The 23,256-nt window shown below is 34.3% G+C and overlaps 2 annotated features.

The window, feature by feature from the left end:
- Positions 11,952-12,663: an enhancer, noted in NCBI's record as "OCT4-NANOG hESC enhancer chr6:115736653-115737364 (GRCh37/hg19 assembly coordinates)". NCBI's record gives its function as "activates a minimal SCP1, AML or CMV promoter by ChIP-STARR-seq in naive and primed H9 embryonic stem cells {active_cell/tissue: H9 hESC(naive and primed)}" and the evidence as "EXISTENCE:reporter gene assay evidence [ECO:0000049][PMID:30033119]".
- Positions 12,664-13,376: an enhancer, noted in NCBI's record as "OCT4-NANOG hESC enhancer chr6:115735940-115736652 (GRCh37/hg19 assembly coordinates)". NCBI's record gives its function as "activates a minimal SCP1, AML or CMV promoter by ChIP-STARR-seq in primed H9 embryonic stem cells {active_cell/tissue: H9 hESC(primed)}" and the evidence as "EXISTENCE:reporter gene assay evidence [ECO:0000049][PMID:30033119]".

Raw genomic sequence — 23,256 nt, 5'->3', positions numbered from 1 at the left:
GAATTATGCCAAATCTCCTCTGCCTGTGCTCTATAGGCAGAATAACAAAACTTGGATGCCAGCACATCTGTTTACAGCATGGTTTACTGAATATTTTAAGCCCACTGTTGAGAGCTACTGCACACACACACACACAGATTTCTTTCAAAAGATTACTGCTCATTGACAATGTACCTAGTCACCCAAGAGCTCTGATGGAGCTGTACAAACAGATTAAGGTTTTTTTCCCTCTCTGCTAACACAACATCCATTCTACAGCCCATGGATCAAGGAATAATTTTGACTTAAAAGCCTTATTATTTAAGAAATATCTTTAATAAGGCTATAGCTGCCATAGACACTGATTTCTCTGATGGGTCTGGGGAAAGTAAATTAAAAACCTTTAGGAAGGATTCACAAATCTAGATGCCATTAAGAGCATTTGTGATTCATGGGAAGAGGTCATAATATTAGTGTTAATAGAAGGTTACAAACAGTTTATTTTAACCCTCATGGATGACTTTGAGGGGTTTGAGATTTCAGTGGATGAAGCAACTGAAGATGTGGTAGAAATAGCAAGACAACTAAAATTAGAATTGGAATGTGAAGATGTGACTGAATTACTGCAATCCTATGATAAAGCTTGAATGTATGAGGAGTTGCTTCTTACGGATGAACAAGGAAAGTGGCTTCTTGAGATAAAATCTACTCCTGGTGAAGATGCTATGAACATTGTTGAAATGACAACAAGAATTTAGAATATTACATAAACTTAATTGATAGAGCAGTGGCAGGGTTTGAGATGATTGACTCCAATTCTGAAAGAAGTTCTACTGTGGATAAAATGCTATAATCAACATTACATACTACAGAGAAATAGTTCATGAAGGAAGAGTCAATCCATGTGGCAAGCTTCATTGTTGTCCTATTTTAAGAAATTGCCACAAACATCCCAACATTGAGCTGCAACTACCCTGATTAGTCAGCAGCCATCAACATCGAGGCAAGATCCATCACCAGCAAAAAGATTAGGACTGGATGGAGGCTCAGATGATCATTAGCATTTTTTAGCACTAAAGTATTTTTAATTAAGGTATGTTTACTGCTTTTCAAAACATAATACTGTTGTACTTAATAGACTACAATACTGTGTACACATATCTTTTATATGCTATGGAAAACCAAAAAATTCGTGTGACTCACTTTATTGTGATAGTCACTTTATTGTGGTTGTCTGGAACTGAACCCACAATATCTCTGAAGTATGCCTAAATGTATCAAATATCCTTTATTTATTCATCCATCAATAGATACTTAAGTTGTTTCCATGTCTTGGCTACTGCAATGAACATGAGTGTGCAGATATCTCTCCAACATACTAATTTCATTTCCTTTGGATTTACATCCTGAAGTGGGATTGCTGGATTGTATGGTAGTTCTATTTGTTTTTTTTTCTCTGAGAAGGAGTCTCGCTTTGTCATTCAGTCTGGAGTGCAGTGGCGCAATCTGAGCTCACTGCAACCTCCACCTCCCGGGTTCAAGCAATTCTCTGCCTCAGCCTCCTGAGTAGCTGGGATTATAGGCATTTGGCACCACACCCAGCTAAGTTTCATATTTTTAGTAGACACAGGGTTTAACTATCTTGGCCAGGCTGCTCTTGAACTCCTGACCCCGTGATCCACCCACCTCAGCCTCCAAAGTGCTGGGATTTTTAATGTTTTTAGGAACCTCTATGTTGTTTCCATAATGGGTATACCACTTTATACTTTCACCAGCATTGTACAGGTTTCCTGTTTCTCCATACTTTTGTCAATACATTATCAGTTTTTTGATAATAGCCATCTTAACAGATGTCATGTGATATCTCATTTTTGTTTTGATTTACATCTTACTGATGTTTAATGATGTTGACAGCTTTTATTATACCCGTTGGCCATCTGTATGTCTTCTTTAGGAAAATGTCTGTTCTATTACATTTCATTTTCCGGAATCATTTCACAATGATCTGTAAATTAAAAAAAAAATCCTTTGGTGAAATGTACTTTTCTGAAGGAAATTATGTACAGAATGCACTTAGAAAAGTGTTATTTTCTTCACTTTTTACATCACAAATAAAATTAAACAAAGTAAATATCACTTTGGAAATATTCAGGCATATTTCTTCTAACTGATTTGGGGGTTAAAGTCAATAATCATTGCATGTTTAAATAATTATGATTGGATTATTAAAATGCAAATCTCATCAGATTCATAAAGCAAAGATCATGTTGGCAGTGTTGGCAGAACACAAACTAAACTTGTGGCTTAATAACTTATTAGTGGCCAATCATAGGCCTTAACCTAATAGGTTAAAAAGTGGTCAACAACAACAGAAATAAAACAGACAAAATCATCACAGGATAGGCCTATTTAAGTTGGGTTCTGTATTATACTAGCATGTGAATTAAATGATTAAGTAGAATAAATAAATGACAGACACATTACTAGACTTTGAGAGTATAACACTGAGCAAAACAAAAACATAACGCATAAGTATACATATATATAACAAGAGATACATGTAATCAAAATAATCGATAAAATGGACCAATTTCTTAAAAGCCACATTGTTCCTAAACTCATACAAGTAAAAATAAATAATCTGAATAGGCTTATATCTATTAAAGAAATTTCATCAATAATTAATATACTTCTATAAAGAAAACACCAGGACCAGATAGTTTAACTCATGTATTTATCAATCATCTAAGGAAGAAATGATACTAATTTTACACAGAATCATCTAAAAAAATAGAAGGGCACCATTTCCTAAATTATTCTGAGAGATCTGCATTACCCTAATACCAAAATCAGATAAAGACACCGCAAGCAAAGATAACTGCAGACTAATATCTGTAATTTATAGAAACAAAAATATAGAACCTCCATAATTATGACAGTACTCATTTAGAATTATTTCTCCTTATAATTTAATTTATATAATGGAGATATCACATATAGTCCCAAAGTATGTCATTCAATTTACCATGTAAGCTCTAATTAGAGGAATCAGCCTGATAGAATCAAATCAAAGTCTTAAGTAAAAATCATACCTCCTGTATCTCTTGCAATTGACATATTCCTCCCCTGCCACACAGAACAATCCTGACCCCTGCATTATTGTTTTTCTGTATTATTCTATAATCTCTTGTATGCTTCTTCACCAACCTGGAATGCTTACTTCAACTTTCCCACTTTTTCATTCTGTTTCTTTGAGACCATTTAGAAAGTATATCCCTCCAAATCCTTCCTAATAGACTTCCTGATTTATCAGTCGATAATAATGAGCACTTTAGTTGAAGTAAATTTTGTTTTCAGGCTTCCTCTTTATGTTGAAAAATAAATTTTTAAAAATGGAGCTAAAAAAAATTCTGAAGTATATTTGACTATGTATTCTCTGAATTGATATACTGAGGCACTGGAATGTAATCAATGCAAGTCTCATTTACGTTCAACATAATTTTGTGAAAACAACGATATTCTACTATGAATTTTTTTTTAAAAAACAAATTTCCATGGAGAGTAATAAAGTCCATAGAAAATATAAGGAAAACAAAACAAATGCCTCTGAAAAATACAAATAAAGTGCTAGGAAACAAGCAAACAAAAAAAACCCCAAAAAAACGTTGTGTCATAGGGTCAAAATTGAAGCCTCCTCCCTTTTATAACTGAGGACAGAGTTTTTCCTCTGAAGGAGTTTTCAGCTAGAACAGCAATAGCTGGACTTCAAGAAAGCAGGACTAAAAGACATACCTCTCCAAGAAATCTGAGTTGACAAAGGCATTTTAACTGTTCGCAAGATATCCTGCTTGTAACAGGCTTATCAGGGAAGAATCACCTCTGGATACAGACCAAAAAAATTTGAAGATTTCCCATGGCCACACTGAAAAAGTAAGTTTTAATGAAGTAAATACATTTTTCAACTGATCGATCCCAGATGCTTCTAATTTACTCACTTGATGACAAGTGTTTCATGGTTGTTACAGATAGTCCTAGATATTTAATCTGAATATCTAGAAACCAAGAAGAGATTTCACACTATAAACCACTGGAAACTAGGTGGACAGGAATAATAATGTCAGATGCAATACTAGCAATTGGCATGTTTGATTTGGATGAGAGAAGTAAGTGAAGCCCTAATTCATTCAGCTGTAGAAAGTGTTTTTATTGTTCTACTGTATCACTTGTATGATATTAAATATTCTCAGGAGTAATATATCATTAATTAATTTCTCTGACAGTGAAAATTTCATGAACTTTGGGGAGAAAAAGCAATGTCTCAGCAAGTTGTACCATAATTGGGTATTTAAAAAATAGGTTTCCTCAACTCAACCTTAAAAAACACATTTTTTTTTCATACTATTCCAAATACTGGAACACATCACTTAGAAAAGCAACTCAAAATCTTACAAGTTATTCTTTCCTTGACATTATTGGGATCATAAATACACGTTTTAAAATCTGTTCCTTATTTTGAAAACTCATATGTGCATCTTTCCCTTGACAGCTTATATTCTGCACTGAGAGAAGCAAACCTATGCTTGTTACCATTTCTTTGCATAGCATATGGAAATGATGCATCCTTGGTGACCACAATTTGATTAGACTCCCAACTTTCATTGTTTTATTCCATATTTAATCAAACTCAAAAATCACATTGTTGGCCAGCTATTTCCTCTTAATAAAGCTGTATAAAGATTGCAATTTTAAAAATACATTTATTAGTCCCATTTCTTATTGTGTTAATCTATATTGATTCCAACATACTTTTGCAGAGTACATTGTGTGAAAAAAGTTATTAAAAACACTTTGTCTCTTGTAGACTAGCTTCTCAGTAACATACAGGAACATTGTTGTCATGTATCTATACTCTGAATCAATGCCAAAATGCCAAGGAAAGATTCTACCTTTGCACATACATGATCATGAGAAGTAAACAACATGCTAACTAGCACAAGGAATAGCTATTGCTTCCCCACATTGTGTGATGCTAATGTTATAGAACATTCTACAGTGCTATTTCATAGAAGGATTTTGCCAAGAGCTTTTCTGTTTTTTTTTAATATATGCCATTAGCATTTTATTTAATTTTATGAACTTCTTATATATTTGCTATAGAAAGTGAAACTTTTTCAGTGTTACTTTTATTGATGAGAGACTAGGGAAAAATGTATCACTAGGACAAGAAATCCAATTTTCAGATATTCATCTCATTATTTCCAATTTGCAATTTTGTTTTTGGCTTTGTTGGAAAATAATCACATTTTCAGATTCATTTGACCTAACACCAATAGAATAACATTATAAAATAAGTCCAGAGTCTTTTTGACTACATATTTGCGTCTATGATGCTACTCTGAGTTTTAACACATCTATTAATAACTTCCTATCTTTCACTTCACTAAAACAATTTTGAGCCTTTTGTATCACTGGTGAATAAAAAGCAGCACAACAGAAATGCCACCACCAATAATAGATAACATATAAATGATATAAAATGTTGGCTAGGAAAACTCCATCCTATTAACTGATCATTGGATGAGATGAACTGATCAACACAACTCTTCAGTGCATGTACAATTTGCAAAAAATGAATATTAAATCATTACAACGTGGGATGGTTTCTGTGAAAATAGTAATTGTTGCATTCAAAATTAGAAAATATATGTTTAATGAGTTTAATAGTATCTCTCCAAAATACATGTCTACCTGTAATTTCAGAATGTAATCTTATTTGGAAGTAGAATTTTTGCAGGTGTCATTAAGATAAGGTCATACTGGGTTAAAGTGGGTCCTAAAGCCAATAGCTGTTGTCTTTATAAGAAGAGAGGACACACAGACATAGGATGAGGGCCATGTAAAGACAGTGATCAGGTGATCAAGAGATGCAGGCAGATTCAAAAGAGCTTTTAGAGTTCAAAATGACAAACATCTTCAGATACATATGAGGTGAAAAGTGAACGATAAAAGATAAATTAATTTATCTCTAGCAGACCTGTACTACAAGAAATGTGAAAGAAAAATGAAGTGCTTCAGGTGAAAAGGAAATCATACCAATAAGACTTGGAAAAATTATGAGCATTAGAAATGTTAAATATAGAAACTAAAAGCAAAAGATTATCATTTGTTACTTCTCTTCTTATTTTAAAAAGACAGTTGACTGGTTGAAACAAAATTATAACATTGTATTGTGAGATTAAAGATGTATGCAAAAGTAAACTAATGAAAATAATTAAGAAATAATTAAAACAAATACTGATTTTATCTACTTAACAAAAAAGATGGCAAGAAAGGAAGAATAATGAACCGAAAACAGATGATATTAAAATAAAATAAAATTAGTGATTAATACTAATAACTTATTCAGAAGAGTCCTAACTATTTTGGAATAAAAAGTCTGTAAGTAAAGCATAGTCAAGGAAATAACTATATGGGAAATAAAATATGTATTTTGATTTATCTGTGAAAAATAATGAAAACACATTATATCAAACTTTGTGAAACACAGCTAGCACTGTCCTTTAAAGGCAAATTTATACTTTAATTGCTAATGTTAGGAAGTATAGGGCAGGTGTGGTGGCTCACGCCTGAAATCCTAGCACTTTTGGAGGCTGAGGCTGGAGGATCGCTTGAGCCCAGGAGATTGCTTGAGCCCCAGGAGACCAGCCTGGGCAACATAGGGAGACATTTTCTCTACAAAAAAATTAGCTTGGTGTGGTGGCACACACCTGTAGTCCAAGCTACTTGAGGGGCTGAGAGGGGAGGATCACTTGAACCCAGGACATCAAAGCTGCAGTGAGCCATGATTGTGCACCACTGCCCACTGCACTCCATCCTGGGAAACAGAGTGAGACTCCATCTCAAAAAAGGAAAAAAAGAAAACAAACAAACAAACAACAACAAAAAAAACCTAATGAAATGGAATGAGAAGAAAATGCTAAAGAGAACAGAACAGAAAGCAGTAGCATCCCAAACAGGCATATAGTAGAGAAAGTTTTTTAAAAACTCCAAATTTTGTTTTTAAAAAAATTAATAAAATTGTTAAAGCTCTGACTAGACACATCAAGGAAAAACGAAAAGGAAAACACAAATTAATAATAACAGAAATGGGAAGAGGAGATATCACTCTAGATCCTAGAGGCATTATAAAGATAACAAGATAATGCTATAAAACAACTTTATGGTAATAGATTCAATAACTTAGATGAAATTTACAAATTCATTGAAATAAATAACAAAATAACTAAAGCAGATATACGAAATCTAAATAACTAAATATCATTTAAAGAGCTTAAATTGATTATAAAAGTATTTTTTTAAAAAGGCACTTTTTTGGTGAATTTCCTTTTAAACATGTAAAAACGTAATAATATAAACCTTATAGGAACTCTTATTTTAGAAAATAAGAGGAGAAACACTTGTTTTATGGGACTGGCATGACCTTGATACCATAACCTCACAAATACATTACAAGAGAAAGATTAATGATTCATATCACTTATGAGCATTGATGCAAAAATATTTAACTAAGTATTAGGAAATAAATAAAGTGCAATTGTATATTTTTTGAAAAGGATAATACATAATGTCAAGAGAGAATTAGTTTAGGAATGCAAGGTTAGCTTAAATTTTGAATGTTAATGTAATTCATCATGTTACCATGAAAAAAGATAAAGCCATAGGATCATACCAATAGTGTAGAAAAGGCGCTTGTAAACAATTCAACATCCATTCAGAATAAACACTCTGAGCAAACTAGCATTAGAAAGAAATATCTTCTGACTGATAAAGAGGATCTAGGAAAACCTACAGTGATGTCTACATATGCCTCCACAGGTTTGAAGCAGTCTTATTTTTGTAATATTCCAAAGTTGAAAATGATCCAAGTGACCATCAACAAGAAAATGGATTAACAGATTAAGATATAGATATACAATTGAATACTTGGCAGTGAAAAGAATGAACTCTGGAAATATACAACCACTGTGGATGAGGCTCAAAAATACTCTCTTGATCATAAGAAACTAGACAGAAAATAATATATAATTTGTGATCCTATTTATATAAACATCAAGATTACCTAGAACCAATCTTGATGATAGCGTTCAGGTTTGATGCAGGTGGTGATGATGATGAGGATTGATTAGAAAAGGGCATGAATAAACTACCTAAATTGACAAAAATGAAATGTTATCTTTAGTGGAGATACATAGGTCATTTATCAAAACACATGCTTTATACACTTAAGATCTGATCATTTCCTCTTCCTCCTCCTCTTCTCCTCCTTCCCCTTCCCCTTCCCTTTCCACTTCCCCTCCTCCTCCTCCTCCTTCTGCTTCTTTTTGTGTAAGTCTGTCACCCAAGCTGGCATGCAGTGGGACAATCTCCACTCACTGCAACCTCCGCCTTCCAGGCTTAAGTTATATTCCCACCTCAGCCTCCCAAGTAGCTGGGACTTCCAGTGCATGCCACAATGCCCAACTGATTTTGGGGTTGGTTTTTGTTTTGTTTTTGGTAGAGATGAGGTTTTGCCATGTTGCCCAGGCTGGTCTCAAACTCTTGAACTCAAGGAATCTGCCTGCCTTAGCTTCCCAAAGTTCTGGAACTATGGGTGTGAGCCACTCAGCCCTGTTGGATTAGCACATTTCACTGTATATAATTTTTATCTCAAATAATAATTATGTGAAGTGCCTCATACACTGAGATTGTCTTCTATGGAAGAGTTCTATAGAAATAGTAGAAAAACTAAAGTAGTAGTAATCATCAACTTATAAGCAGATTATTTCTAACAATCTGAATTTAGACACAGGCAGGGCATGTGTAAGTTAAATACTCAGAATTTTGGGAACCACATATGTGAAACCTAATAGCCTCAACTGGTTGATTGAATTTTTGAAATCAAGTATTTGGCAAGCATTACACTTGAGATACGCAGACAAATATTCTTTGAAATCACATGTGATATTTTTGTCATCAAGAAATGGAAAATTATTTCAATTTCAAAATGAGCACAGATTAAGAAAATTCTTCAGATGATCATATCTGTACTTATCAGGAAAATCAATAATACATAGTTGAAGGGGTGTTGTCTCCCCATACTGCTCCCCTCCACAATCAGTGAATTTTATTTATATATATGTATATATATACTATCTCTATATATATAGTGTGTATATATATAGTATATATATACTATATATATACTATATATATGCTATAGATATACTATATAGATATACTATATAGATATATATAGTGTGTATATATATAGTGTATATATAGTATATCTATAGTGTATATATAGTATATATAGTATATACACTATATATATATATATATATATACACACACACATTTTGGCACTGAGATATCTGATTTTGCTTGTAGTTTGAACAGGTGGTAAGATTTACCGTATAAATCATTTTACAACTGAGAAGACAAATAAAGATCTTAGAGAGCTTTTAGCATAATGATTTCAATTTTCACTATAACTATACATATAACAAGAAAAATAAAAAGTTTCTGTGCCAATGTTATTTTAGGGAGACTATTTCAGTAAAAGACAGAATTTAAAAGTATCTCTTAGATAAATGATTAACTCACACTTTGTTGTGAACAAGTTATTTCCAAGAAAATGTTGAGTTATTGCTGAATTGGAATGAAGAGTGTTAATTTTGTAGGGCACATATTTCTCTAAGAAATCTTCTAATTGGTGTATTTGATCAATCCTTAAAATATAGTTTAATGATAAAATGAGATGCTCCTTTGTCTTTCTTTCCTTTTGTCATGTTTCCCCATGCCCCACCCACACAGACTTGAGAATCTTTGAGGAGTCCTTTGAATTAAATCTCAGGGTTCAGTGTCTGTGCTCATAACACATGAAGGGAGTTAATTATTTTATTTTCATTAAAAAAATTAAAATAATCAGTACCTACCAATGTGATATTATCTGTTGAATAAGAAAATAGTTCTATGATTTACAAAAAGTTTTGGCTATTATGTGTAATAAAATTAACCATATTCACTACAGAATGTCTCATAGCATTTGTTGCATCAATAAGTATCATGATTCCCAAAGAGAAACACATTTTCTTTCAGAAGATTAATATTACTTTGGAAGAAATTTTTGAAAATATGGCTCTCTATGGTTTTACTAAATGAAAAGACTCTTGTTATGTTTTAAAAAGAAAACTTTATATATAAAATAACTGTGTTAGTTTTGCTACTTATTTTTATTACTTATCTTTTCTGCTATTACCTCAGTACTCAGTAAAGCAAAAATTTGTACAAGAGTAATTATAAATTTCTCACTAAGTACAACTAGCTGAACTCAGACCAAGGTTCTCCCCCAAAATGATAAATATACTACATTTGCAGTCCTGGGCTTGTAGGTGATAGGGCAAAGCGATTTTAACATTCCTTCAGGAAGATGTATTTTCATACTAAATTCAAAAGTTTAGAACTGCTAGAGTAGTTAGTCAAACATGAGCTGGGCAGGAGAGGACCCCAAACCACAAACGACAGGTAATCATCAGCTGATGTTCAGGTGGTTGTTAAACTATCTAAAATAATAATTGTTTGCAGCTTACACCAGGAGAAGGCAGTCTCCCAATAGATAGAAAATACCTGAAATTAGTGATCAATAGGTTCCTGATAAGATATCAAGAGTTAGGTGCATGGGCTCAAGCATGCACACTCAGAGGAAAAATGACAGAGTTTACCTGGTATATGACTTTCTTTTAGTAACACTCAACTGGTAAGGGAAGAACGCCTCAAGTGAGCATACATACAACTTCAGTAAACACATTGTGCATGTGGATGCTCCCAAGGGCTGGCAGACCACTGTGCATGCAGACAGCAGACTTCAAGGGAAGAATCAGGGAAGAAGGGATGCAACCCGCCTAGATGCATGTGCTGTCATATAAAACCCCAAGTCAAAGCTCAAATCATGCACTTGAGTCTTTCAAGTTGCCAGCTTGGCCCTCTTCCAAGTGTACTTTACTTCCTTTCATTCCCTCTCTAAAACTTTCTTAATAAACTTTCACTCCAGCTCTAAAACTTGCCTCAGTCTCTCACCCAGCCTTATGCCCCTTCAGTCAAATTAATTCTTCCAAGCAGGCAAGACTTGAGGTTGCTGCAGACCTATATGAATTTGCTGCTGCTAACACAACCATAATAATCTGTTGACATTTTACTGAATAAAAATCCTATTGAAAGATGACTAAGTTAGAATGAAAAGATGAAAGCTCTCTTTAGCAATCAGTAGATCAAAGGAGGAGTAAATAATTGTGTCATAGTGTTACAGGAAAGGGGTCCCAATCCAGTCCGGAAGAGAGGGTTCTTGGATCTTGCGCAAGAAAGAATTCAGGGTGAGTCTGCAGTACAAAGTGGAAGCAAATTTATTAAGAAAGTAAAGGAATAAAAGAATGTCTACTCCATAGAGCAGCTCTGAGGGCTGCTGGTTGGCCATGTTTATGGTTATTTCTTGATGATATGCTAAACAAGGGGTGGATTATTTATGCCTTGCCTTTTTAGACCATGTAGGGTAACTTCCTGACGTTGCTATGGCATTTGTAAACTGTCATGGTGCTAGTGGGAGTGTAGCAGTGGAGACGACCAGAGGTCACTCTCATCACCATTTTGGTTTTGGTGGGTTTTGGCCGGCTCCTTTACACAACGTGTTTTATCAGCAAGGTCTTTATAATCTGTATTTTGTGCTGACCTCCTATCTCATCCTGTGATTTAGAATGCCTTAACCATCTGGGAATGCAGCTCAGTAGGTTTCACAGCCTCATTTTACCCAGCTCATATTTAAGATGGAGTTGCTCTGGTTCACTCGAGTCTGACAATAGTAAGGCTTCTACTCTCATCTGTAAACACTAGAAAAATTTCTACTTGCATTAATGTATAAGCAATGTTTCCCCTCTGTAAATTAAAAATATAAATAATTGCCACACCTTTGCTCAAAAAGATGCTATAAGTATGACTAGATCATGAACACAGAGCTCTATATAAATATCTTATTAGAGGACATGCTCATATAGAGATGAAATATTCAGAAACAGAACATTAGTAGTGTAAGCCAAAAATAAAATTCTCAGCCCCTCAAGTGACTGAACGGACCCTTCTCTTGGTCAAGGGGACACAAACAAACCTGAAAAACGAGTTCAGATCATGAGAAGAGGGGACATCAGACATGCCTCATTATACTCTCCTCCCTTTGAAGTTTAGAGGCAACTAACCAGCATTAACAATAAAACATAGATCTTAAGACTAACAAAAAAGACTCCCTGTAACAATGAGATACTGAATTCCAGCCTGACTCTAGTATAACATCACCTGACAGATAGTAGGCTCTGAAGGAAATCAAAGTATTTTACTCCAAAATTTATTTCTTTTACATATTTTAAAATGGCCCTGCAAAGCTGCCTCTTAAGGGAGGAATTTGCATTCTATAGAGAATCTCCCCTTACTAGCTCTGAAGCCTTTTAAGATCCATAAGAGACATTCGCATCTATTCCTCTGAAGCCTGCTACTTGTAGGCTTCATCTACATGACAAGAGCCTTGGATTCCACCCCCTACCCCGCACCACCTTACCTTAACTCAAGCTGATTGAAACTCTTCAGTCAGAGTTTAATCCTTTCAACAAATTTCCAATTAGGAAGTCTTTAAATCCACCCATGACCTGGAATCACAACTCCCACCCCACCCACAGATGACCCACCTTTCTAAAATCAAGCTGTAACCCAAACGCCTTGGGCAAATGTTCTCAGGACCTCCTGAGGCTGTATTAGGGGTCACGAATTTTTTTTTTCCTTTTTTAGTATTTATTGATCATTCTTGGGTGTTTCTCAGAGAGGGGGATGTGGCAGGGTCATAGGATAATAGTGGAGGGAAGGTCAGCAGATAAACACGTGAACAAAGGTCTCTGGTTTTCCTAGGCAGAGGTCCCTGCGGCCTTCCGCTGTGTTTGTGTCCCTGGGTATAACCTTACCCCCAACCCCGTGCTCTCTGAAACATGTGCTGTGTCAACTCAGAGTTAAATGGATTAAGGGTGGTGCCAAGATGTGCTTTGTTAAACAGATGCTTGAAGGCAGCATGCTCGTTAAGAGTCATCACCACTCCCTAATCTCAAGGGGTCACGATTCTTAACACTGGCAAAATAAACTTCTAAATTGATTGAGACTGGTCTGAGATACTTTTTGATTTACAGTCTTTTAAGTGCCAGGCACTGTGCCCTGTAGTTGAAGATCCATCGTCTCACTCTGTCTCTAACATTGATGAAAACCCAGAAAACTGAGTCATGGCCCACTGTGCTGCTGAGTATTAATATTTGTACAATTTACTGAAATCTTCATAACTTTTAGCTTGAATATTTTTTGTTCTGGTAACATTTTGTATCTCGAAGTAGAATCCAACTCATTTTAAAAAATCAGTCTCAGTTCACCGAAGAAACTTAATGTTTTTTATATGCTAGAATTTTCAAAATGAACTCAAGATGATTAACACCTACTGTGCTACTGGAAACTTTATTGCATTGGGTTAGAATCTGATCATTTACGTCAATAAAAATTTCCCTTTAAAAATTGTTAGCCAGGTGCAGTGGCTCATGCCTCTAATCCCAGCACTTTGGAAGGCCAAGGCAGGAGGATTTCTTGAGGGCAGGAGTTTGAGACCAGCTGGGCCATTCTGAGATAGTGAGACCTTCTCTCTATCAAAAAAGAAACAACAACAACAAAAACTCCTATTGTAATCTACTTAAACAATTAGTATGTTATAAAGTCTATAAATATTTCTTATATTTTTCTCAGCTGTTATCGTAGGCTTTAATTTTAGTGCCTGGTAGATCATCTTAAAACTATCAGCACAACAAATTATTAATCTAATTTTAAAAATTGTGAACCTGGGCCAGGAAATACTAAGTGTTTAGGTATTTTTCCTAACTTTACAGTGTGCCTTGTAAAACTGCACAGATGGTGACCAAATGGACAATTCCAATTTATTGCCTGTTAAAAAAAGGAGCAGGAAGTATAGATATAAAACTTGTTTAGCTCAAAATATCAGGAAAGCCAGGCTTTTCAATTATTCTTGCCAATCACCAACGGTAACTTTGTTTTGACTACATCAGAAACTGCCTTCCTTGTCTTGATATTTCTTGTATTGTAGCTGCTTAAATAGATTTATTCCAGGTAGTAACCCTTATTTTCATCACTGTCAAAAATACTGTATACTTGGATGGATAAGTTTAGATGACAGAAGCATGTTTCCTTGATTACAGTTTTCACAAAGGGCATGTCTGTTTGTGTGTCCTCCTACTTTACTATTGATTGAGTCATATTGCAACTCCTCAATCCTCTTCACCTTCATTTTCTACCCACTATTTTTCAAAACTCAATTTGGATATAAAATCTCACTCAAAAAGTTGTTGGTGCTTTTCAGTTTACACACATGACTATCAGCTAAGATATAGGAAGTACCCACATTTTTTTTTGTCAGTAATAAATGCCTATCCAAAATGTGTTTTTGGAAACAGTAACAAAGCTTTCAGTTTCTTTCTTCAAATCCATCATAAGAGTTTTGGATTCTGCTGATTTCTTAAAAAGAAAATATCTGTATGTCATGGTGGTTGGACAGAAAATCTAAACCTTCAAGTGTAGAAACGTTGGGGAAAAATTGATATGGGCTCAAATAATACTGATAATTGTTGAAGCAAATACATACATAACACTTTCTATGTGTCAGGCAGTTTTCTAAGATTTTACCATCAAACATATATCATTAATTATCCCCAGAATTCTATGAACTGGGAGATATAACTCTCTCCATTTTCCAGATGAAGACATTGAGGTAAAGACTTAGATATGTAATGGTGAATAAAGAGTTTTTCCAAAGTCATATATATGGTAAGGGTCAAAGATAAATTTGAACCTTGCCAGGCTGAATGTACAATTTGTATTATTAGCCACTACACTACATAAAGTGTCCAACACTGTGCCCAGGACAGAAGTCATGATCAATAAAAATGTTTGTTTCCTTACTGTCTTCCAGCTTTCAGTATCTATATAATCAGTTCTTATAAAGGTGTTTTTCTTTAGCATCCTTACTTGTTGCATCCTTTAGATGTACTAATGCAGATGACCACATTCCCCAGGATTGAACATAATCTGCCCTGTACCACTCATGGATTTGCTTCAAAATGAAAAAATCCCAACACACTAGAACATCTATTTGCAAATCCTCTAGGCCATCAGATACATCAAAATCCTCAAATTGTGGCATGTGTGGAAGACTTGGCAGGGTTTTCCCTCGAAAGGAAAAGAAAAAAAAATGGCCACAAGAAGAAAATATTTTGAATCTTTTTGAGGCAAGAGATACAGAAAACTTGTCATCTTCAAAACTAAAATTTCTCTAAAATGAATCTTTTGTGACAAGGAACAGTGATTTCTAAATAAAATACAAAATTGGTACAATCTTTCCCAGAAAAGGATTTTGAAGAGATGAGAATGGGAAGGGGCTTGAATTTAAGTATACAGACTTGTGTGTTTAACTGTCTCTGATGTGCATTTTATTTTTATTCATTCATTAATCAAGAGTTTCTTCAATGGTACCAGACATTAGGGTAGATGCAGAGATAGAATAACAACACATTATCACTACTCTTTAGGGTCTGTAGTTTACTGGAGATGGCATATAATATAATAAATATAATATAATAATCATGGGATAAAGGCCATAGCTGGAGCTGTGGGAACAAAAGGCTAGATATCCTACTTGTCATTTGTAAGATGAAAAACAGTTAGCAAGGAGGGGTGAAAAGCAAGTGTTCCAGAAAGAGGGAACATCTTATGCAAAGGCCCTGAGTCTAGGAAGCGTCTAAAATGCATGGCCTGTCATTAGCATTGACTTCTGAGTGATGTGCTTCATTTTCCATTTCCAATGGTTTAAACAATATGTCTCCAGTAAAAGTCCTGTATTTAGGAAATGACTGACTTAATTTATTCTCTCTCTGTACAAGCTCACACCCTTGACTCTAGTAGTTTCTTATCCAGCTGTTATCCTCAGAGCGGCTGTACTTGTTAACACTCAGTATTTCAACACATGCCACCACATTTCCCTTTTCCATCTATAATTTGGCATCAAGTTGGAAGCCATTATTTGTCATGTTAGTATTATAATTAACTGAAAATGATTGAAGTGCAGTTTTAAATGTCTTTAAAAACTAGAGTGATGCTTGCCAGGGTCACAATTGACAAAATATGTGGTGGTAAAAGAGACATTTGGGCTGTACTTGCTAAATATATCTTTCATTTCCTAAGAAATGGTGTCAAACGATTCTCTGCTATTTCTCTAGAACCCAGACACATCATCTATTGTTTTATAGCTATTAGAAAATGAAACAGTCTCTTTCCTTCTCTTTAAGCCTAGTCATAAACCACCATGGAGTCAACATCATAGTGTGTATTAATTCAGATGAAATTTTACCACCTGGCATTTAGGCTGCAATACTTAAATCTGTGAAAAGTTGACACTGAGCTCCCTGAAAGATTAAAAACAATGCTTTTGAGCACTTTAAAAAGTTCATAGCTTCTCTGCTGTAATAAAATTTTCATTATAATTACCTATGAAACCATCAATTGATTTTTTTAAAGAAAATATATTTTTCTATCCACATAACCTTGAACTACATATACCTTCACTGTCTTTTTCCTGAAGTTAATGTTCTTAAAAGATATTTGCACTGTTTAATAGGATTAACTCAAATCCCCGCAACTCCAGCCTGCTTTTTTCAATGCTTCTTACATGCCCAGAGTTTTTTCCTACTAGTATCTTGTCTTCTATTTGACTTTGTGTTTTGGACCTACTGCTGAATTAGTGGCACAGCAGTACTTAGACTATTACCAAGGAGAGAGAATAAAGAGACAATAAGATAGTGCTCTAATTCACTTTCAAGAGAAAATCTTATCTCTTTACTCGTAATTTAGAGATTTTTTTTTTTGTTCAACTTAACAAAAGCAAGGTCTTAAGCACAAGTTTTCTGCTTCCTGAAAGTTTAAGCATTGTCATTTAATATTAAAGTTTTACCCTAGTTTGGTTCTCCCTGATTCTAATCATTTCCTCCATCTTACATCTTTTTGGATGTTATGCTGCTTTTGCCTGGACAGCACCATCTCAGCTATGACCTCTTTTAGGTGTGGCTCATTGAACTTGGTATGCTCCCACTAAAGGACATACTACCTTAGCACCACTTTCTCATATTATTCGGCTCTTATTCTATCTTCTGGCAGTGAGGATGAGATTATTAAAGCTAAAACAATATGTTACAGAGACTGCTGGCATCTTATTATTTATTTTCCTTTTCTTTCTTATTTGCAGAACCTTAACTTCATGGAATGGTGATCATTAAACTACTCCAATCAGTAAATTACTTTCCCCATCTCTAGTCTCCACTTCTGTGGCCCCATCACATACTAGAAAATAGAGGGAGTGTATTGGATTTTACAGGCCACAAATATTCAAGCAGAAGTAGTTGAGAACCATCTCAAGCCACATGATGACAGTAATGCTACCTTGGTGAAGAATAAAGAAATTGAAATGAAACAAACATTTCTTCAGTAATGTAGATTATTCTGAACTTACAGTGGGGTTACATCAGATAAACCCATCATAAATTGAAAATATCATTAAGTCAAGAATGCATTTAATACACCTAACCTAGCAAATATAACTTAACCTAACTTACCTTAAATGTGCTCAGCACACTTACATTGGCCTACAGTTAGGCAAAATTATCTAGCAACACAGTACGCTGTAGAATATTGTTTTTTCACCCTTTGGATTACTTAGCTGACTGGGAGCTACAGCTCACTGACGTTGCCCAGCAGCACATGAGAGTATCATGCTGGCAACACAGTACACTGTAGAAAATTGTTTTTTCACCCTTGGGATTGCTTAGCTGACTGGGAGCTACAGTTCACTGATGTTGCCCAGCAGCATGAGAGAGTATCATGCTGCATATTGCTTGCCTGGAAAAAAATCAAAAATCAATATTCAAAATTTGAAGTATAGTTTCTACTTTCACACCATTGTAAAGTTGAAAAATGTACATTGAACCATAGTAAATCAGGGATCATCTGTACTATGGATTGGGAACTGTACTGTTAATCTCATTTCATAGAACTACTTTGTAAGATCGATACCATTAAACTGACTTTTACAGAAAAACAAATAGAATTAAGGAAATTAAGTAAACTTCAAGATCATATCGCTTATTACTTCTACAGCCAGGACTCAAATCTTAATGTCAATCCTCTAAAATCCTCTTTATGCTTTATTAAATAATCAGACAAAATCATGATGTTTTCTATTTCTTTCATGTATATGTATACATATATAAATATATATATATTCCATATATTCCATCACTCTTTCTATGTAAGATACTTTATTTACTGCATATATATGGCTAATAGGATAGAAAAAGTCATCAGAACTCAACAAATTAGAAAGAATGGGAAGTCTTACTCTTTATTTCTAAATTAAGTGGCAAATTCTTTATCTCATCAGGCTCAGCTTATAAATCATAGCATACCCTTATGAGCTGTACTAAAATTAGATGAGAAAGAATCTCACTGAAGTGGAATAACAAGGATACCAGATGTGAAGCAACTAAAGAAATGAATAAATGAACATCTTATCCTTATTAGTTACTCAACACTACATTCATTAAGAAATGAGAATGTTTAAAAAATCAAGCAGATTCTCCATCTTGCTCTTGAATTCACAGAAAAGTGCTGATAACTTGCAAAATATAAAAACGAGATCCCCTGTTTGTCAGTATTAGTAAAGAAAAAAATAATAAACAAGGTCAGTAAGACAGTAAGATATGCTGACTTGTGGCTGAAAATCAGCATTAATTAAATAAACTTTGCCATATATAAGAACATGCTCAAAAATTGAGCTAGACACAATTCTACAGTTAATGGTCAGTACATTAATCAATTCCACTTTTGCTTTCTGACATCTTTTTTGCAAGTGGCTTGCATTCAATTTGCCTTAGATGCTGCGAAAGAGGAAGAGTATCTAGTGCCTGCATATTAGTGGGGTAGGAAGCAACCCTGAGATCTTAGTAGTGCTGGTTGCAATAGGGTTATTAATTACCTTATTAATTTAAGGTTATTAATAGACCTTAAAAGTTGAGGGCTTGGGAGAAGTCACATCTAGATTTGAATTTGGGCTCTAGAAGTAATGAGAGTTTTAAGGCCCGAGTGGTAAAATAAGAATTAACTATAGGAATAAATTGAAGATCCAGGTCACCATTACATTTACAATAAAGCTCAGACCTTAAAAAGTACAATAATACAGAATGTAGCCATGAAGCTTTGAATGAAAAAGAGTTGGAGGTGAGAGCTTTCTTGAGACAAGCTTACCTCTCCATGCCTAAAAAGCAGTTACACAAAAACATCATATTTTTGAATAATTCATGATTCTAACAGAGAAGGGAGACTTGAGTTGTCAAACAGGAAAACTACCCTCAGCCATTCTCAACCCTACAGAAACCCTTCATAAGAGCTTAGGGAAAGCCTAGCTTGTTTAATCAAAGGGAAAAGGGATTGTCTTTGAACTCTAAACTGAGACAGTGGAAGAAAAAAGATGAAAATAGAATGGTACTGGTACAAGAACAGACATATAGACCAATGGAAAAGAATAGAGAACCCAGAAATAAGACTATACACTTACAACTATTTAATCTTCGACAAACCTGACAAAAACAAGCAATGGGGAAAGGGTTTCCTATTTAATAAATGGTGCTGTGATAGCTGGCTAGCCATATGCAGAAAATTGAAACAGGACCTCTTCTTTACACCATATACAAAAATCAACTCAAGATGGATTAAATACTTAAATGTGGCCGGGCGCAGGGGCTCACACCTGTAATCTCAGTACTTTGGGAGGCCGAGGCGGGCGGATCACGAGGTCAGGAGATCGAGACCATCCTGGCTAATACAGTGAAACCCCATCTCTACTAAAAATATAAAAAATTAGCCAGGCCTGGTGTCATTTGCCTGTACTCCCAGCCACTCAGGAGGCTGAGGCAGGAGAATCACTTGAACCCGGGAGTTGGAGGTTGCAATGAGCCTAAATCACTCCACTGCACTCCAGCTTGGTGACAGAGCAAGACTCCATCAAAAATAAATAAATAAATAAATAAATATAAAAATAAAAAGACTTAAATGTGAAATCCAAAACTATAAAAACCCTAGAAGAAAACCAAGGCAATACCATTCAAGACATAGGCATGGGTGAAGATTTCATAATGAAGACACCAAAAGCAATTGCAACAAAAGCAAAAATTGACAAATGGGATCCAATTAAAGTAAAGGGTTTCTGCATAGCAAAATAAACTATCAACAGAGTAAACAACCTACAGAATGGGAGAAAAATTTTTGCAAACTCTGCATCTGACAAAGGTCTAATATCAGCATCTATAAGGAACTTAAATAAATTTACAAGAAGAAAACAAACACCTCCTTTAAGAAGTGGGCAAAGGATATGGAAAGACACTTCTCAAAAGAAGACATTCATGTGGTCAACAATCATATGAAAAAAACCTAAACATCACTGGTCATTGGAGAAATGCAAATCAAAGCCACAATGAAATATCATCTCATGCCAGTCAAAATGATTATTATAAAAAAGTCAAAAAATAACAGATGCTGGCAAGGTTGTGGAGAAAAAGGAATGCTTTTACACTGTTGGTAGGAGTATAAATTAGTTCAGCCATTGTGGAAGACAGTGTGGTGATTCCTCAAAGACCTAGAGACAGAAATACCATTTGACCCAACAATCCTATTACTGGGTATATAACCGGAGGAATATAAATTGTTCTATTATAAAGGCACAGGCATGCATACGGATGGAGCCGGAGGCCATTATCCTTAGCAAACTAATGCAGGGACAGAAAACCAAATACTGCATGTTCTCTCTTATAAGTAGGAGTTAAATGATGAGAACACATGGACACATAGAAGGGAACAATTGCACACTGGGGCCTACTAGAAGGTGGGGGTTGAGAGGAGGAAGAGGATCAGGAAAGGTAAGTAGTGGATACTAGGATTAATACCTGGGTGATGAAATAATCTGTGCAAAAAACCCCCATGACAAACGTTTACCTGTGTAATAAACTAGCACATCCTCCCTATGTACCCCTGAACTTAAATAAAATTTAAAAAGAAAAAAAGATGAAAATGAAATGAGTAATATTCCAATAAATAAATAAAGCACACCCCAAAAATTGTTCCTGAGGACGATAAATTTAATCTAATATTTGAAAATTAGCTCTGTGGATTTTAGAAGTCACAAATACAAAAGCTCAGAAATGATTTGACTAGATAATAGAAGTATAAGGATCATGGAATAAAGTACCTACGGGGAGAATGAAAAAAAAAAAAGAAGAAAATAGAGCAAAATTCAAAACCAAACCCTAAATAGGAACTATGAAGCAAATATACATAAAATAAATCACAGAGAAGAAATGAAAAGAATGAAATGGAAAAAATAACAAAATAAAAATAGAGTCAAGAAAGGTTTGGAGAAAAAGTAATAAATATAAAAACACACATAAAGATATCCAACGTATGCATAATGATGTCTCTAAAGAAGAAATGCAAGGCAATAAAACATAATAGTTATAACTATAATTCAGAAAACTTTCTTAAAATAAAGGTAACTTGAATGTGCATGTTATAAAGGTACATTTTCTATCTTGAAAATTCTATTCAGAATATTCAAAACTGAGACAATTCCTAACAACTATTAAACTTTAAATACAGGGAAAATTAATTCTGTGGAACTCTGGTAAATGAGTATCTTAAAAAGGAAAAAAAAATCAGGATGGAATCAGCTTTGACTGTAAATATTTACCTGTAGAAAGGAAGAGTGTTTTTAAGATATTCAAAGAAAGAAAATGTGAGTCAAGTATTTATATACAGATAAACTGTTCTTCAAGTATAAGATCATAGACAAATAGTTATGAATAGACAAAACTTTGGAAATGTTATTTGTGTGATCCCCTCCTGAGAAATCTATTAGAGAACAAATTTCAGGTAGCCATAAAATAATCAATAAATTTTGACATGAGTTTGCATGAGCACTGAATATGTTTATCAGTAGAATTAAAACTAAAATGTGAAAATAAGGAAGAGATGGAAGAATGTGTTATATTTTCTGTAAAAATAGAAATAATCAACTAACCAAGATAATACCAGTGAATAAAATTGGAGAGTGAAAGAAAAGGTAGGAGGGGAGAAAATGTTGTTTGTAGTTTGATGGTAATATATAACATCTAAAGAAGGGTTGACTAAGAATTTTACATAAGAGTACTAATATAAAAACAAACTAGGAAAAAAAATGCAAATGATCTTTAATAAAAAAAGCCTTCCTCTGAAAAAAGCAAAATTAAAAGGTCAAATAATAAAAATGTAATATAAAGATTAAATATTGCATGAAATAATATGACAGAACTAAAGACCAAATATGTTTCTATCAAAAATGTAAATTAGAATAGTTCACTATCAAAAGACAAAGTTACACAAAATTTAGATATAGATCTTTCTTGCTTTTATTTATGATTTATGAATCAGGGCCATCCCCCATTCTACAAAATAGAATGAGAGATTGCATTGGTCAATAGCAGAACAGTGAGTTTTTCAAGGTGAGAATGAGAAAAATGAACAGAAAAAAGCTGAGTGGTTAATATAAGTTTATTTCAGGCTACTTTTTTTTTTTGACTTAACAGAATGAATTTTCTTATTCAGTTGATTCTGACTGGAATCTTCTGTTTTCAGGAAAAATTGATCTGTTTTGGGATCTATATGCTTCCTTAAATTTTCAGTTTGATTATGTGGCATTTAGTATGAGTGACTCCACTTTGGTTCAGTCTGTTTTTTTGGGGCCCAGTGCAAAACAGTGGTCTTCCATGTTTTTTGTTTAACATCACCTCCTAAGAAAAACTCATTTTTGCAAAGTGAAATGCAAAATTGGGCATTTTCAAAAAAATACATTAAAAACAAACTGATTCAGGATGTGTAAATATAAATGTATGGGGATAGGGGTGGGGTGACCTGTGGCAGTCATAGCAATAATTGGATACAATGGCCATGCCTGAGATGTCAAGTTGATGTAGACCTGTGATACAATACCAATGATTGATGGGGTATTTTAAATTACAGAAACAAGTA

Source organism: Homo sapiens, chromosome 6 (genome assembly GCF_000001405.40).
Source record: "Homo sapiens chromosome 6, GRCh38.p14 Primary Assembly".
NCBI classification, from domain to species: Eukaryota; Metazoa; Chordata; class Mammalia; order Primates; family Hominidae; genus Homo; species Homo sapiens.
This window is presented reverse-complemented; position numbering and strand designations above follow the sequence as displayed.